Source organism: Homo sapiens, chromosome 1, assembly GCF_000001405.40.
Source record: "Homo sapiens chromosome 1, GRCh38.p14 Primary Assembly".
Classification (NCBI taxonomy): domain Eukaryota; kingdom Metazoa; phylum Chordata; class Mammalia; order Primates; family Hominidae; genus Homo; species Homo sapiens.
The window spans coordinates 4,678,945-4,694,670 of NC_000001.11; the positions used below are offsets into that span (position 1 = coordinate 4,678,945).

General features: G+C 53.9%; 1 protein-coding gene across 3 annotated transcripts in view, besides 3 other annotated features; it reads left to right on the plus strand.

The window, feature by feature from the left end:
• AJAP1 (adherens junctions associated protein 1) overlaps positions 1-15,726 on the plus strand; it is a 137,926-nt gene that overhangs the window by 24,336 nt on the left and 97,864 nt on the right. The gene's annotated exons all lie outside the window — the stretch shown is intronic.
• Positions 11,780-12,731: an enhancer, noted in NCBI's record as "H3K4me1 hESC enhancer chr1:4750784-4751735 (GRCh37/hg19 assembly coordinates)". NCBI's record gives its function as "activates a minimal SCP1, AML or CMV promoter by ChIP-STARR-seq in primed H9 embryonic stem cells {active_cell/tissue: H9 hESC(primed)}" and the evidence as "EXISTENCE:reporter gene assay evidence [ECO:0000049][PMID:30033119]".
• Positions 14,670-15,170: an enhancer, noted in NCBI's record as "H3K4me1 hESC enhancer chr1:4753674-4754174 (GRCh37/hg19 assembly coordinates)". NCBI's record gives its function as "activates a minimal SCP1, AML or CMV promoter by ChIP-STARR-seq in naive H9 embryonic stem cells {active_cell/tissue: H9 hESC(naive)}" and the evidence as "EXISTENCE:reporter gene assay evidence [ECO:0000049][PMID:30033119]".
• Positions 15,171-15,671: an enhancer, noted in NCBI's record as "H3K4me1 hESC enhancer chr1:4754175-4754675 (GRCh37/hg19 assembly coordinates)". NCBI's record gives its function as "activates a minimal SCP1, AML or CMV promoter by ChIP-STARR-seq in naive H9 embryonic stem cells {active_cell/tissue: H9 hESC(naive)}" and the evidence as "EXISTENCE:reporter gene assay evidence [ECO:0000049][PMID:30033119]".

Consider the following 15,726-nt stretch of genomic DNA (forward strand, 5'->3'; position numbering starts at 1 on the left):
CACAGCTCAGAAAGACAATTCCCAGAGATGTTCAGTAACTTGCACAAGGCTACATAGCATGCATTCAAACTGCACAATCAGGTGCACCTGCCCTTAACTGCTTCATCCTAGAAGGCCAGGGGCAAGCTGCTGACCAAGACCTGGACTCTGGGAGACAGCTCAGTGCCATGCATTTGCCAGCTTTCTCAAGTTTGGAAGAGAACCATCCTATTTCAAACTGCAGCCTAACACTTGGGAAACCTGCTGCCTGACGTAGTAATTTCTCTTGACAGTACTCATCACCATGGGATCCACTGTGCACTTTACACATTGGATTCTCTCCTGCTTGTCTCCTCTCCTGGGACCTGAACTCCAGGAGGGCAGTGGGTTTTGTCCCATGTCCCCAGCTACTAGAACAAAGACCCACAAATAGCAGGCACAGGAGAAATATCTGAGTGATGAATGAATGAATGAATGAAAGTTATTTATATTCTGGAATCTTTATTAGGGGCCTCAGATCATAAGTGACCTGAGGACTTCAGGCTGTCTGCATTAGATTAATGTGGCCACCATAAAGTACTACAAACTGGATGGCTTAAAATGATAGAAATATATTACCTCATAGTTCTGGAGACTAGATGTCCAAAATCAAGGTGTTGGCAGGGCCATACTCCCTCTGAAATCTGTAGGGTAGAATCCTTCCTTGCCTCTTCCAGCTTCTGGTGGTTGCTGGCAGTCCTTGGTGTTTCTTGGCTTATAGATGCATCACTCAAATCTCTGCCTCCACTTCACATGGCCTTCTCCCATCCACATGTGTCCTTGCCTCTTCTTATAAAGACATCAGTTGTATTAATCAGGGTTCTGCTTAGAAACAGAACCAATAGGGTGTGTGTGTGTGTGTGTGTGTGTGTGTGTGTGTGTGTGTGTGTAGAGAGAGATACTTACAAGGAGTTGGCTCACATGATCAGGGAGGCTGAGAATCCCCAAGATCTGCAGCCAGCCAGCTGGAGACCCAGGAGAGCTGATGGTGTAAGCTCTCATTTAATACTGTAGAACTGAGAACCAGAAGAGCTAATGTTATAGTTCCAGTTCAGAAGCTGGCAAGCTTGAGACTCAAGAAGAGCTGATGTTTCCGTTTGAGTCTGAAGGCAGGAAAAGACCAATGTCCCAGCTCAAAGCAGTCAGGCAGAGAGTGTTCCCTCTCTGTCAGTCTTCTATCCAGGCCTTCATCTGATTGGATGAAGCCCACCCACATTACAAAGAGCAATCAGCTTTACTCAGTCCACTGATTCAGATGTTAATCCTATCCATGAACACCCTCACCCATACACCCAGAGTAATCTTTGACCACACATCTGGGCACCCCGTAGCCCAGTCAAGTTGACAAGTAAAATTAACCCTCTCACCAGTCATTGGATTTAGGGTCCATGGTGATCCAATATGACCTCATCTTAAATACATCTTCAAAGTCCCTATTTCAAAATAAGGTCACAGTCTGAGGTTCAAAGTGGACATGAACATGGGGGGACACAATTCCACCCAGTTACACCCTCCTATGGGAGACAGAGGCTGGGTAGGGGTTGGGTTATGGGTCAGCCGGCTTTCTTTCTTTTCTACCCTGTAGTGCTCAGAGCCTTGCCCCATAGATGTTTGTGAATGAATGACCATTACAAAGCTGGCCTCCATCCAGGCCACTGATGTCCACTTATCTCTCATGTAAAGCCACCCTTGAGTCTGGTACATATGCTGGGCATAAATGACTTCCCAGAAAAAGGGAATTAAAGCTGTGTTTTCAGGTGCACTGGAGTTTTTATATATAAATGTATAAAATTTGTTTCCATTCCAGTAAGAATGGTGAAGTTCAGTGTCGCATTGCTACTTATGATCTTTGATTCCATCCCAAACATCTTTCTAGTGGTGTTTTTTATATGGACTTTTGGCTGAAGTAGAGTAGAAATGGACTATTTCTGTGCGGGATTACATTTTAGTGTCTTATAACCTTGTACAATATATGAGCTAAATAATAGGGCTTTGGCATTCGAATTCAGGTGGATTTGGAAATATAGCAAAGATAAACTTCTGAGCAAGTTCTGTTTGAAATGGAGTGTTCTCTAGCACCCGTTATTGGTTTAAAATCCTGGGGGGAAGAGTTAAATAAATCAAAGAGACAGGTGCAGTTTTTAGATTAAACAGCCAAACCCATACAAAATCCCTTTGTCTAGACTGGACAAACATCAAGTGTTATTTCAGACAGTTTGATGAAATGCCCCACTGTTAACCCGCAGCCCGCTAAATGCCCGCAGTGTTTGGTAAAGCCCTTTGGAAGCCCGTGTTTTCAGCAGCACGGACAGTGTGCAAAATTGCCACAGACTGCAAGGGAGAGGAATGTCAACTGGGCCACACTGTTGGCGTCCCCCTTCGCCAGCCCCAGGCCAAGGAAAGGAGGCTGGGTGCTTGCCAGAGTGAGGCAGGGGCTGCCAGCCACACCCACCCTGGACGCAGGCCTCTGGGAAGACCCATGAGGCAGCCAGGGTTCTAGGAAAGGGCCCATAGGCAGTAATTTGTGTGCCTTTCTCGGGCTCTGGGCTTCTGGCCTGCAGAAGGGCTAGGTTCTGGCCATATTCCGGGCATTTCTGCTTACCTTGTTCAGACAGGTACAGCTGGGGCAGAGAGCACAGGCTTAGACAGAGGCCATGCCTGGAGGCAGAATATTTTTCCTTCTCATTCCGACCAAGCCTCACTCCCATCAGAGGTACTGGACAAAGCAAGGTCTCTCCAGAATAGTGCACCCTGGATTTGTCCCCCTCTGCTCTAAAGGAGAGGCAGACCACGTGCAGGAAGGCCACATGCTTGGGGTCAGACAGACCTGATGGGGCACGGTGGTGAGCTCTATGAACTTGGGCGATTCACTCATGATCTCTGCCTCGGTCTCCCCACCTGCAAAATGAAGGGGATGACAGCAGCCTCTGGGAAAGCTTCTCTGGAGCCTGCCAGTTCCAGGTGCTGCTCTGAGTTCTGGTCAATCCTCATAGCAATCCTATAATGATCTTCATTTTACAGATGAGGAAACTGAAGCATAGAGAGCACGAGGAACATAGTAAGGCCACATATCCAGGAAGTGCCAGGGCTGGGATCACTGTAGGGAGTCTGATGCAGAGTCCACCAATGATACTGTGGTCCACTGATGATGCTGAGAGGCCTTGAATTGGCCACACATCAAATTTCCCAACTTCAGAGCTGGTAAACTTGCAGGCTGCATGCATCTTAGAACCCATGAAATATGGAGGTGTGGATGTGGCAGGCTGTGCTGCCCATCGATGGTCTTCATATGGTGCCTGATCAGTGCTGTTGTAGTTGCTAAAATAATAGCTCCCTGATCTCAAGCCTCAGAGATGCTTTGTTCATTCCCAAGTGGAGCTTGGCCACCTTCCCCTATGCATCTCCCTCCCCACAACCATGCTTGGGCCCCACTTCCACCCAAGACTATGCCCAGAATGCCTTTTCTCTGAGCCCAGCCATGAGGCCCTATCAGCTCTTTCTGGCAGCTGAAGTCTCCACCAGCCCTGAGTTTTCATGTCCCCATCTGTGCTCTGTGGCTCCTGCATGGAGTTGGTCTGGTTTCTGCTCTTTCCTGAGTGGTGATCTCTACCCAAGACTGCATGGTGTGGTTCCTGTATCCTCCCTCCAACCCCTAATGGCCACCAGAGCTATGCTGAGCCCTTCGTAGGGTTTCAGACATGAATGTGATGATGGTGATGATGATGTTGGGGATGAGGATAGTGGTAATGATGATAATGATGATAGTGGTGATACTGGTGGTGTTGGTGGTGGTGATGATGGTGATTATGATGTTGGGGATGAGGATAGTGGTAATGATGATAATGATGATAGTGGTGATACTGGTGGTGTTGGTGATGGTGATGATGGTGATGGTGGTGATGGTGATTGTGATGATGATGTTGGTGATGGTGATGGTGATGATGCTGATGGTGATGATGGTGATAATGAGAATGATTGTGATTATTCCAAAAGGAGTAAGCCTGCACCATTTTCCAGCTATGTCAGTCCAGGCCCCAGTTGGCCCTTGGCCCCTTGGAGTCCAGCCACATACTGTGTAGGATCCAAGTGCCCTGCTCGCCAGAGATCCAGCACTCTTAATGGCAAGAGTCAGATGGTGGGGGTTCAAATTTGGACTCTTACCTGCTGTGTAATCTTGGTTGTAGTACTCCCCTTCTCTGTGCCTCACTCTCTCATCTGTAGAATGGGGTTAATAGCAACATCTGTCCTTCAGGGGCATGGGAAGAGTAAAATGATTAATGCCACAGTGTGCCTGGCACTGGGCCTGCCCAGAGTGCCCAGGGAAGATCAGCTGATAGTCTCACTTGACCCGCAGAGCTCAGAATCAGCATCCCTGGAAGCCTTGTTAAAATACAGCTTCCTTGGCCCGCCCTCACTGTTTCCCATTCAGTGGTCTGGGCTGGGTCTGAGCATAAGCGTTTCTTACCAGTTCCAGGTGACGCTGGTTCCACTGGCCTGGGGACCCAACTCTCAGGACCCTTGAGCCTGTCCATCCATTTCAGTGGGTCCACTGGGACGTTGATATATGGGAAAGGCAAATGTGACCTCAGACATTCAGGAAAGCAAAGAAATGTAGGCAAGGAATTTCTACGGGTTTTAGGAAAATGTTTCGTCCTGCACTGGGTACCCACAGTCTTTCCCCCGGGGACTCTTGCAAATATACTTGACTCAGATCTCCATGGGACTCACCTGGCTGAAAACAAGCTGTCACAGCACCTTCCTCTCACTTGTCCCACAGCCATTTGAGGGCACTCCCTGTGTGCCAGCTCCCGAGTACTGATGGGGCTCAGGGGGCAAGGAAAGAACATCACTGTCCCCAGAGAGGCCAGGGTGGGACTTGCACAGGTGCAGTGTTAGACGGTCAAGAAAGCCTGATGCTTAGGGCAGGGGGCACTGAGGAGGAGTATGCATGGTGAGGGGCTTCCTAGGGAGCATCAGATGCGTAGGCATTCATAAGACACAGACACACAGGGCAGGGTGAGAGGGAGGCATGAAGAATGGGGAGGAAGGAGATGGAGGAAGGAGGGGAGTGAGCAGAGGGCCCCGGGAATGGCCTGGAAAAGGCTGAGCCCTTGGATCCTCTGGGTTGGTGCATCTGGGCTCACCTCAATGGATTTGGAAGATTTAGTTTCATGCCTGTCTCTGAAGCTCCCAGGTTGAGCAAATGTTGCTGCTGTCTGCATGTGCAGGGCGGGAATGCATCCCCAGCTGTTTGGGGGGCAGCTGTTAACACGCTGATAATTTTACTCGGTGGAAACCATGTTCATTCCATTGGCTCCTGGCTCAGCACATCTCCAGGTTTAAGAGTTCACGGGGCAGGCGGGAGGAGGAGGCCATGAGGCTCACCTCCTGCCTGGGTCTAGGAAGCTGCACATCGGCCTTTATGAGTGTTCTGAGCGCCTGCTTTCTGAGTCATCACCATCATGGGCTACAGGAAGGAGAGACCAAGGAGCAAGGTCTAGGGCGGCCTTGTGGCCAGCCTGGCCACCTGGGGGAGGGGAAGGGAGTACCTTGAGCACATTCTCAGGGGGACCTTCTTTCCAGGAGCTGTTTCTCACCACTTCTTAGACATTCTCAAGCCATGGCCTTTCCTGGGTAGAATCTTGGGTTGAGAAGGTTTTTGCAGGCACTCGCAGCTTCTCACGTGCCTCCAAATGGACCTACATCATTCAAGACAGACATCTATCCATTTCACAGGTGGGAACCCTGAGGCACAAAGGTATCACTGTCTGGGCGCTGCTGGTAAAGGCAGAGCAGATCTAAAGCCCCCATCTCCATGCAATGGGATCGCCGTTGATTCCATTCAACTTGCCTCACCTCCCCCAGCCCCTTGCCTGTGCCAGCCTCCTCCACCAGAGCTGTCAAAGGGGCCACAAGGAACCAGCAGATCTCTTTCCTTGGGAAGCCAGGCCCATTGGCAGCCTCAGAGGATGGAGTCAGACCTGATCCCAAGCCATTGTCTTCTGCCTTTTGTCATAAGTCACTGTGGCAGGAGGAAAAAAGGCCCAACAACAAAGGCACCCTCCTGCTGCTGGAGTTTCCTCTCCCAGCAGGGCTTCTCTGGAGGATGCAGTCATGGCCCCGAACCCCCTCTGATCTGTCCAGCGTCCAGCATCTGTGTGACAGCCAGCTTTCTCAGCACCAGAAATGCAGCGATGGTGCATGGCTGTGTCCACAACCAGGAGCTGTGAAATGCTCCAAGTCCATAAATCACGGAAAACAAGGACATAACCTTGGTTCTGCACCATCAATACATTACCTAATTCAATCATAAAATGGAAGAGCAGTTCCATTTGTATAATTCCGTATGAAAAATCAGCAGATCTTTGCATTTTAAATGCCGCCTGCATAGCCTCTCCACAGCGCTGAGCACAGCCTCCCTTTGATGGAACAAGTGTCAAATAGAAAGGATATAAACAAGCTCCCATGTCACTACCTTCCTGAGGATGCTTATTTAGGGGGTCTTTTAATGCCTGGCTGTGATGGTTTATTTGCAAATGGTCTGCAAGCTGCTAACAATTTGTATTTCACAATTTGCTGGAGCCTGGCAGGAGCCATAATCCCATCCAATGGCATCGACAGATCACCCAGCGCAGTGTCTTGTTTTCCAGCTGCTGCTGGAGGAGCTCATTGCCGGGACCCAAGACCAAGACCCTGCCCCAGCGAAGGAGAGGCAAGCTCCACAAAGAAGGCTCCTTGGCGCCATGTTAGGGTGCACCGTTGGGGGGTCCATGGGGGACCTTCTTTCCAGGAGCTGTTTCTCACCACTTCTTAGACATTCTGAAGCCATGGCCTTTCCTGGGTAGAATCTCCCCTCTGCCTCCTTGGTGGGGTCAGGTGCCATCTGGTCATCCAGAGGCTGCAGGGCTGGGCTCTGCAAGGTCATTGCAGCCCATTGTCAGGATTGGGGATGGCAGGAAATGTCAGAGGACAGAGGGACCTGGGTGGCCATCAAATGCACCCCAAATTTGAAAGGACCCCTTCCTTTAGTGATCATCTCCTGTTTTCTGCAAGTAAATCCAAACTGCAGGCTTGAGGGCAGAGCTGTTTCTTCTCCTCGGAGGTTTTGCCTGTGTATCTGGCATGTGCCAGGCACGAGACAGCTGATGGTTGATAGTTGCTGACAAAATGACGTGGCCTCATCCTCACGTCTTCCTTGAAGCCAGTAGTGTCTCCTCACTGAGCAACTCCTTAACAAATAACCACAACTGCGTTAGATTCCTGGTGCAGTCATCACAAATTACCACGAATTGAGTGGCTTATAACAGCAGACATTTGTTGTCTCGGTCTGGCAGCTAGAAGTCCAAAATCAAGGTGGGATGAGCTGGGTTCAAGGTTCAAGTTCCTACCCTTGATTGCCCCGCCTTCCTCTGCCGCACTGCAGCTGGGTTGCAGAGGGCTGGGTTCAAGTTCTTTTTCTTCCCTGAGTGCGTGGGTAAGTCCATTAATTTCTTTGGGCTCCCAGAATAACCCCATCTCCAAAAGGAACACCCCATACATAGTTATTCGGCTTCAATAAGTAAATAAAATGATAAACCCCAGTCTTTATGGATAATACACTAATTCTGCGGGAGCGCATAAGCCCACGCCAGCCTTCCGCAGAGCTTTGCCGAGCAGGAGGCCTTCAATGGGAATTCATTTCTCACTGTTACTGTTCCGATCTCAACGCCATGAAATAAAAAGGAAGAGTCACTTAGATGCCCACGTGGATGGAGCTCTTCTAGAAAGGCTTGCTCTTCCCGGCTGAGGTCAGGAGGCCAGTGTGGCCCTGGCCTTTGGCTCTGGAGCGAGGTGAGCCCCCTTCAGCCTGCAAAAGCTGCATGCCCTCCAGTCTCTCAGTGTGGCCTCCGTTCTCTGATGCACTCACTTTTATTAGCCCTGCTTCTAGGATGTCAACCTCCAAGCAAAGGGAATCTCCACTTCTGCCGAGGGGTCAGAGCTGATGGAGTGCCCGTGAGGTTGGGCTGCCCACTTCCTGCCCAAGTTGACCAGGGCTGCCTCTGCCAGCTGCAGAGCACAACCAACCCCCTGCAAGGCCATGTCCTCACCACGGATGGGGACAGGAACCTGGAGCCCCATCCCTACTTCCAACCTCTGTGTAGGCCTTTTCCTCGCTCTTTCCTTTCCTCCTCTTTACAGAATCCATTCCATAGACATGGACAATAATTTAGTTTTAGAAATCATGATCACAGCCAGAATGCAGGCTTGAGGACCTGAACGCCTCTCGAAAGCCACCATGGGCACTCGCTATGTAGTGAGACCCTGGGAGAGTTTATTCTGGGAAGCCGTGGATGGGTTTCCACAATCTCCCATGACTGGTGCCTCAGCTGTTATTTGGAGATAACGTTCCCTTAAGCGGAGTGTAAAAATGTGTAGAAATGCTGGCACGCCCTCCATCAGCCTCAAAGCACTGATTCAGGTCATGCTCAGCGTGAGGTCAAGCCTTGGTCCGGGCAGCCTGGGGGCAGCCTCTGGGCTGGGACCAAGACCCCTGCGGTCCATGGGGAGGGCAAAGGTCAAATGTGACCAAATAAGACAGAGAAGGAACAAGGAGTTTCAGGGGAGGACAGTGGAAGGTTCTGCTGTCTGGTGGCTACGGCTGCTTTAGGAAAATAGGACATTGGCACCTGGATTGTGATGACTCGAGCCACAGCTGTTCAGTGCCAAACTGAATCGTAGAGTGAACGTCCCTGTCACTCTGAGAAGAACGAGAGCTCCGTGCTAAGGGAGTCAGCCCAGGCAGAACGCCCAGCCCAGGGAGGTGTCAAGGAAGGGCAGGGGCACCAGCTCCATCCATTCATCCATCCATCCATTCACTCATTCATTCATTCAGCCTCCTTCATCCGCCAGGCCTCTGTGTGGGAGGTGCTGGGGACACAGAGGTGAACTGAGACCCCAGATCACACAGGAGGCCAACGATGAACAAAGCCTTCACAGCTGAGGAAGGGGCTGCAGTTCTAAGTGGCCACTGGTGAAGAGCAGGGCCCACAGAACCTCTCCCTGGGGTCCAGCCTGTCCCAGTGAGCTGGAAGGCCTCCAGGGGAGGAGGTGTTTCTGCCGAGGCTGGAGGACGCAGCAGTGGGGAGCCAGGATGGGGAAGGGGGCAGCTGAGGCTGGGCTGTGCTGGACGAGGCTGGAGCGGTGGCCCCAGTGAGACGGGGGTCCCTCGGAGCGCCCCGTAGTCTTGGGAGGGAAGTGACACTTCGGAGGTTGGTGGCATGTTGCCCAGGGCATTGGCATGCGGGGGGAGTGGGGACATGTACTCACTGTGACCACACGGGGCTGGTGTCATCCAAGAGAGACAGTGAGAGAGGGAGAGAGAGACTGAAGTCCTCAGGTGAAATGCAACCTGTGAGAAACATAACTATTCCGGTTGACATTCAAACACGGTCTTATGTAGTGAAAACATTCAAGGTGTAGCTTCTCACTTAAAAACAAACAAGTGATTAACCTGAAAATAGACTTCTGGAAAAGAAAGGATCCTGATGGGGCCAGGTGCGGTGGCTCACACCTGTAATCCTGGCACTTTGGGAGGCCGAGGCAGGCGGATCACCTAAGGTCAGGAGTTCGAGACCAGCCTGGCCAATATGGTGAAACCCCATCTCTACTAAAATAAAAATATTAGCCGAGCGTGGTGGCGTGCACCTGCAATCCCAGCTACTCAGGAGGTTGAGACAGGAGAATTGCTTGAACCCGGGAGGCAGAGGTTGCCGTGAGCTGAGATCGTGCCACTGCACTCCAGCCTAGGTGACAGAGTGAGACTCCGTCTCAAAAAAAAAAAAAAAAAAAAAAGAAAGGATCGTGATGCCCTTCTTGTTTTCCTTGCCATGGCGATGACCCCATACTCGAACTGTATTAACTCAGGAAGTTCACAGGAGGACGCTGAGCCCATTATCTCCCTTCTACAGGTGGAGAAACTGAGGCAGGGAGGCATCTGGTGAGCCACCCTGCCCTGCTCACTCACAGCGGGTGCCCCTCCAGTACCCACCAGTGGGAAGAAAGCCTCTCACATACGTGCTCAGGCCAAGAGTCTGAGACCCCGCCTGCCCCCCTCACTCGCCTGTAGGGGGTGAGGGTTCTTTGGGGACCGTAGCCTGCGGCTTCGGTCTTCAGTTCCTGAGGTCATGTAGAGGGAATGGGTGTCCAGAACGGTCCCTGACAGAGTATAGGGAGAGAGAGAAACACACCGACGTCCTCGCCCCAAAAGAGGTTTCAGAGACAATTACCGATAAATCAGAACGACGCGCCTGGTATGAATTCAGCTGATTAAGGCGGTTAAATTGTTTTTCCCTTGCCAAAGGGTTGCCCGATTAACAACTAAACAAGCAATTTGTTGCACCTAAAATACCTATTTTCTGATTTATTGGCAAGGAGAGTGGAGCCTCGCGCAGCCCACCCACGAGGAGGCGGAGGGCCAGGAACGCAAGGCCCAGGAAGGCGGAGGCGGGGGGCGTTCCTGGCAGGATCATGCACAGGGCAGAGGGGCCAGAAGCCTCTGAGCCGATGGCCCCTGGGGCCCTGGCTGGAAGTGGTGGCAGGTGAAGGCCAGACAAGGTGCAGGATGGGGGTGCCTGGATGGCCTGGTCTTGGTTTCAGCTCCGTGGGTGAGAAGCACCATGACAGGATACTGGATTTGGAGGATCCGTTTCCTCCGCCTTGAAACACAGCTTTCGGGGTTGACTGTTGCTCCCAGGAGTCATGAGCATCCGGCATGAGCACGAGCGTGAACCCGCTTTCAAGCTGTAAAGCTCCCAGCACAGCTGAGCCTTGGAAAAATTCAGGAGAGGCAGAGAAATCCTGGCAGCTGGGAAACAGCCCCGCCAAGGCCGCCCCCTCTCGCGGATGCCCAGCAGCAGAGGGGATGAGAGCCTGGAGGGGCAGGTCAGGGGAGAGGCTGGTTCTCTTGCTTTCCTTCCAACGAGAAAAGGGGTGACTGTCCCTCAGCCAGGCTCCCTGGCCTGGGGCAGCATCCACATTTCATCACTGCCCCCGGTTGAGACCCCCCCAGCCCCGCTCCCTCCTGGCCCTGTAGAACTTGGTGCACACCTGGCCAACGATGGATGCATTTCCCACTCGCTGACAAAGACAAGACTCAGTGCCTGCCCTGGAGGGGTAGTGTGGAGCATGGGGCGACACCAGTGCCCAGGGCCAGGAAATGTCCCTAAACCCCCAGGAGGCCCGAGGAGGGGATGCGCCCATCCAGACCCTCCAGGAGGTTTGTGGCCTCTGAAGTCAGTCCGCTCCTTCACTGTCACCAGGGCCTGTTCCTGAGGCAGGGCTGCTGCCCACCCTCCCACCACCAAGAGGTCCCAGATGCTGAGCTGGGTCTGCAAAGTCCAGCCCTTCCCCACTTTCAGCTACTTGTGTGACCTCTTGTTTCAAGGATGGGAGCCCGTGGAATGGCCACTGGCAGCCCCCACAGCTACGCCCTCTCTTCGTCATGGAGCCACAACCAGGAGCTGTCACCAGGGGCGCGTGGAGGTGGCTGCAGTACGGGAGAGGGGACGTCGCGGCTGCTTTCTGCGCCTCTTGGCTGGTGGTTGCAGAGCACTGCCCCTGTCTGGGAGAAACACGGTGTCCCCCACTTTTATTGGGTGTCACTGTGCCTGAGTCCTGGATCCAGACAGACCTTATTTCATCTGATCCTCTCCACCAATCCCGGAGACAGGCATCTTAGTGTCCATTTTACAGATGGGGACACAAAGCATAAACAGCTGTCCCAGGCCACACGGTCCACAGAGAGAGAACTTCCCTGAGTTCTCTCCACACTCAGGTCCTGGGACCATTTCTGCCAGGAGGGAAGCCTCCACTCGGCCGCTGGTGCCTGAGCAAGGGGCGTCTATGCCTGAGTCCACCTGACTTCTTATCCAGGGAGCAGGGACCTTGGGGGTCAAGTGCGCACTGGGTCATTGGCCTGGGTCTGACTCCTATCCCCTGTGCTGGACTCAGCCTCACAGAAGGGCAGGCCATGTCTGCCTGGTCACTGTGTGGACTGGATAAGCCTGAAGCCAGGGGTGCCAGGCTGAGGCCTGGGGTGAGGAGGGCCACTGAGCGAGATTCCAAATCCAGGGTCAGAAACACAGGCTGATGCACTGTAGGTGACTCATGGCCGTGAGCTCACTGTGCTTATGGTCGTGACTAAGCTGGGACCAGAAGCCAGGAGCCCAGAGTCCCCATCAGGCTCCCGGAACAGACTCCATTCCTGTTTGGGAAAGAGCATCTGGGGCTGGGGTGTCCAGCCACCCTCGGGTGCTCCTCCCTCCCTCCTGGCCTTCCTGGGACCAGGCCACCTTCTCCCAGGTTGGCTGGAGCTGGGCAGCCAGGGTCAGGCCGGGCACACTGACCGCCTCCCTTTGTCCTCTCCAGGCCACAGAGTCTGTGGAGGCTGTGGACGAGGTGCCCTGTGCTTCTGTCGTCAGCAGGGCCAGTGCTTTAGGTGACAGGTATCTCTGCCGCCTGCTGGCCCTTTGGGCTGGGTACACAGTGGGGCTCGGGAATTGTGCTAGGCCCGGGAGTGGCTCCAGAGAGGAGCTTGGGCCTCCAGGTCCTGTGTGCCTCTTGACCAAAAGCCCTGGTGCTGGAGGAGAGTCGGAGCTAACTCCGGGCTCGGGGAACACCCGGGCAGACACTGGTGCTTGCCATCGGATGGCAAAAGCGACCCACCCGCTGACTCCAGGAGTCAGGGGGGCTTAGGAAGGAGGGCCAGGACCTGAAGGGAGGAGTAGGGCAGGCGCAAGTGGCAGAGAGAAAGGCACAAGGCAAGGTCTTTGAGGTCGGTGGTGAAAACGTGTGTGGGGGACAAGCGCTCAGAGGGGGCCCATGACCTGCAGACCCAGGACCGCCTGGCAGGGAGCCCTGCCTCTTCCCCTCCTGAGCCTGCGGGAAAATCAGTTTTCTCCTATTCCTGACTCAGGAGTGTCAGGGACCTGCAGAGGGACAAGGGTCTCCAGGGCTCAGAAGAGGGTGTAGGTCAGACGTGGGGTGGGGACGGGGTTGGAGGGAGCCAAGAACAGCCTTTGCCCCAGGCCGGGTGTCCCTGAGACTGGCCGAGGCCCTCAGCCCTGTGCTCCTTCCGGGAATGGCAGGTGGCATGGCGCCCGGCCGGCCCTGCGTGGATCTATTATCTCTGCATCGTTGCCGCCTTCTCGAGGGTTAGGAGTCAGCCCCGCTTAATAGGTGAGGAAACTTAGGCACAGAGGCACTCACTGTGCCAGGCAGGCTCCTGCTGCTGCCTCCCGCCGCTGCCTCCCGCCACCAGGACAGGGTTGTCAGGGCTTCTCGGGCTCCTCACCCCGCGCCCTGGGCTGCTCTCCTCTCTCCGTCTCTGGGCCCCTCATGCAGCCCTTTCCCTTCTGGCCTCTCAGCCTGCAGGAGAGGCTGGGGGGCACGTCTGAGGGTGCAGCAGAGGGATATAGCCTCCGTGGGACTCATCATTACGAGGACTTGTAATTGCTTTGCTGGCTGGGTCCCAAGGAAGCACCTGCCCCCAAATTCCCCACCCCAGGCATCCGGGAGGAACTTCCTGGGAAAAGAGAAAAATAGCTCAGCCCCAGCCTGGCCTCCGCAGGCCTCCTGACCATGGCGGGGCCTTCCCTAGTGGACCCCACAAATCAAGCCTCATCATTCCTTCTCTCCCTGCCTCCTGTCCCGGGTCAACTCCTACTTGGCATTGGAGACCCATCACTTCCTCCAAGCAGCCTTCCAGGCTCAGCCAAGCAGAGATGAAGCCACCCTGGCACTCTGCTGTCCTCCCTCCAGGTCTTGTCAGCTGAAATGCCTGTTCCCTCAGTGGACTGTGAACTCCCCATCTGGGTTCCTCTGTCTGTTGGCCCACGAACAGGCATTAAGTGCACATTTTTCCAAGCTCAGCCCTGTGCTCTGTGCTGGAACTGGACAGGGAAGGGACGAGGTGTGCCCCATTCTGGAACCCAGTGCTCATTGCAGCTGCTTTATTAGGTGGCTATCAAATAATTGTATAAAAATAAGCAGTTAATATTTCTATTACAGTGTAATTAATACTAAATAAGAATTGAGCTTCATAAATGCCCACCTCAGCTGTGCTTTACAGTTTCCTGGAAGCCACCCTTCCCTCACCATGGCCCAGGGAGGTTGACAGGGCTGGATTTTCTCCCAGTTTATGGGGAGAAACCGAGGAAACCTTGGAGAAGCCCCCATGAAGGCCCCATGCTGCCCAGGATTCAAAGGCCCACCCGAGTGGGGAGGCGCCCATGGGAACTTTAGACACCAGGCCACTCAACTGAGGGGAGAAGCAGCCCGTGGTCAGGGGACGTCAGGGGCATGTGCTGATGGAGAGGGACTCTCGGCTTCGGAGGGAAGAACCCCATGGGGGACTGGGAGTCATGGAGGGCTTCCTGGAGGCAGGGGGCGGGGGGAGGGATTGGAGGAGGCCTAAGCAGGAGCAGGTAGGGCTTCTGGGCTAAGACTGAGCGTCCAAGCCTTCCTTGGAGGCACCAGAGCCCAAACCCAGCTGGCTGCAGAATGGCCCTTCCTCCCCACGTGGGGCTGACAGCCTGTGTTTTGGGCATCAGGGGACTGGGAGCGGGAGGGGAGGAAGAGTTGCCAGCTCATGTCAGACTTGATTAGTGCCTGTCTTAGCCTGTTTTATGCGGCTCTAACAATATATGTGAGACTGGGCATTTTATAAAAAGCAGAGATTTATTTCTCACAGTTCTGGAGGCTGGGGCACCCAAGGTCAAGGGGCCCACGTCTCGCTGGGGCTTCTTGCTGTGTAATCCCGTGGTGGAAGCAGGAGGGCAAGAGAGCACATGGAGGGGAGGAAGGGGCCAAACGCGTCCTTTTATCAGGAACCCACTTGGGGGAGATAATGGCATTCAGCCATTCAAGGGGGCAGAGCCTTCAGGGCCCCCTCACCTCTTACAGGTCCCACCTCAGTGCTGTGGCACAGGGATTACATTTCCACAGAAGCTTCTGGGGACACTCCAGCCCACTGCAGTGCCGGGAAAAGTGAGGCCTCATTCACAAGGCAGGTGGGGTAGGGTGAGCAAAGGAGGGTAGACCCGTGTTGGGGCTGCCCCTGCACCTGCCCAGCACACCCCCAGGGCTGCTCCTGGTGGCCACTGGGCCCCGTAAAGCTGGGAGGGGCGGGGTGAGCCTCCCGTAGTCCATTACGACCAGCTCAGCCCAGGGGCACGGGTGCCAGTCTGCACCCACTTCATGCCCTCAGCTCCTTTGCCGGGGGGGGATGGCCCCTAAACGATCAGATGTCGTCATAATCCCAGCCCCCCACCCCACAGTGGTGGTCTTGTAATTGAGCAGAGTGGGTGCTTATGAAGCCTGGCTCTCAGCTCCTGAGCCCTGCACAGCAAGTATTATTTTCTCTCTGACACATGAAGGAAAGTGAGGCTTGGCGTGGCCATGTCACCTCACCATTCATTCATTCAGTCTCTCAACAAACATCTTTGGGAGACTCCTCTTCCCTGGGCCTGTTCTGCTCCTTGGGACGCCCTGGTCAGGGGGACAGACACCGTCCTTGTTCTCCTGGAGCATAAACTCCCGAGTGGTCCAGGCCCACAGCAGATGGAACATTACAAACTGTAAACTCTCAGAAACTAAATGACCAGACTGACAAGGAGATGAGCTCGTGGGTCACGCGAGGGGTCTCCCCTTGGTGGGCAGGTGGAGGTAAGG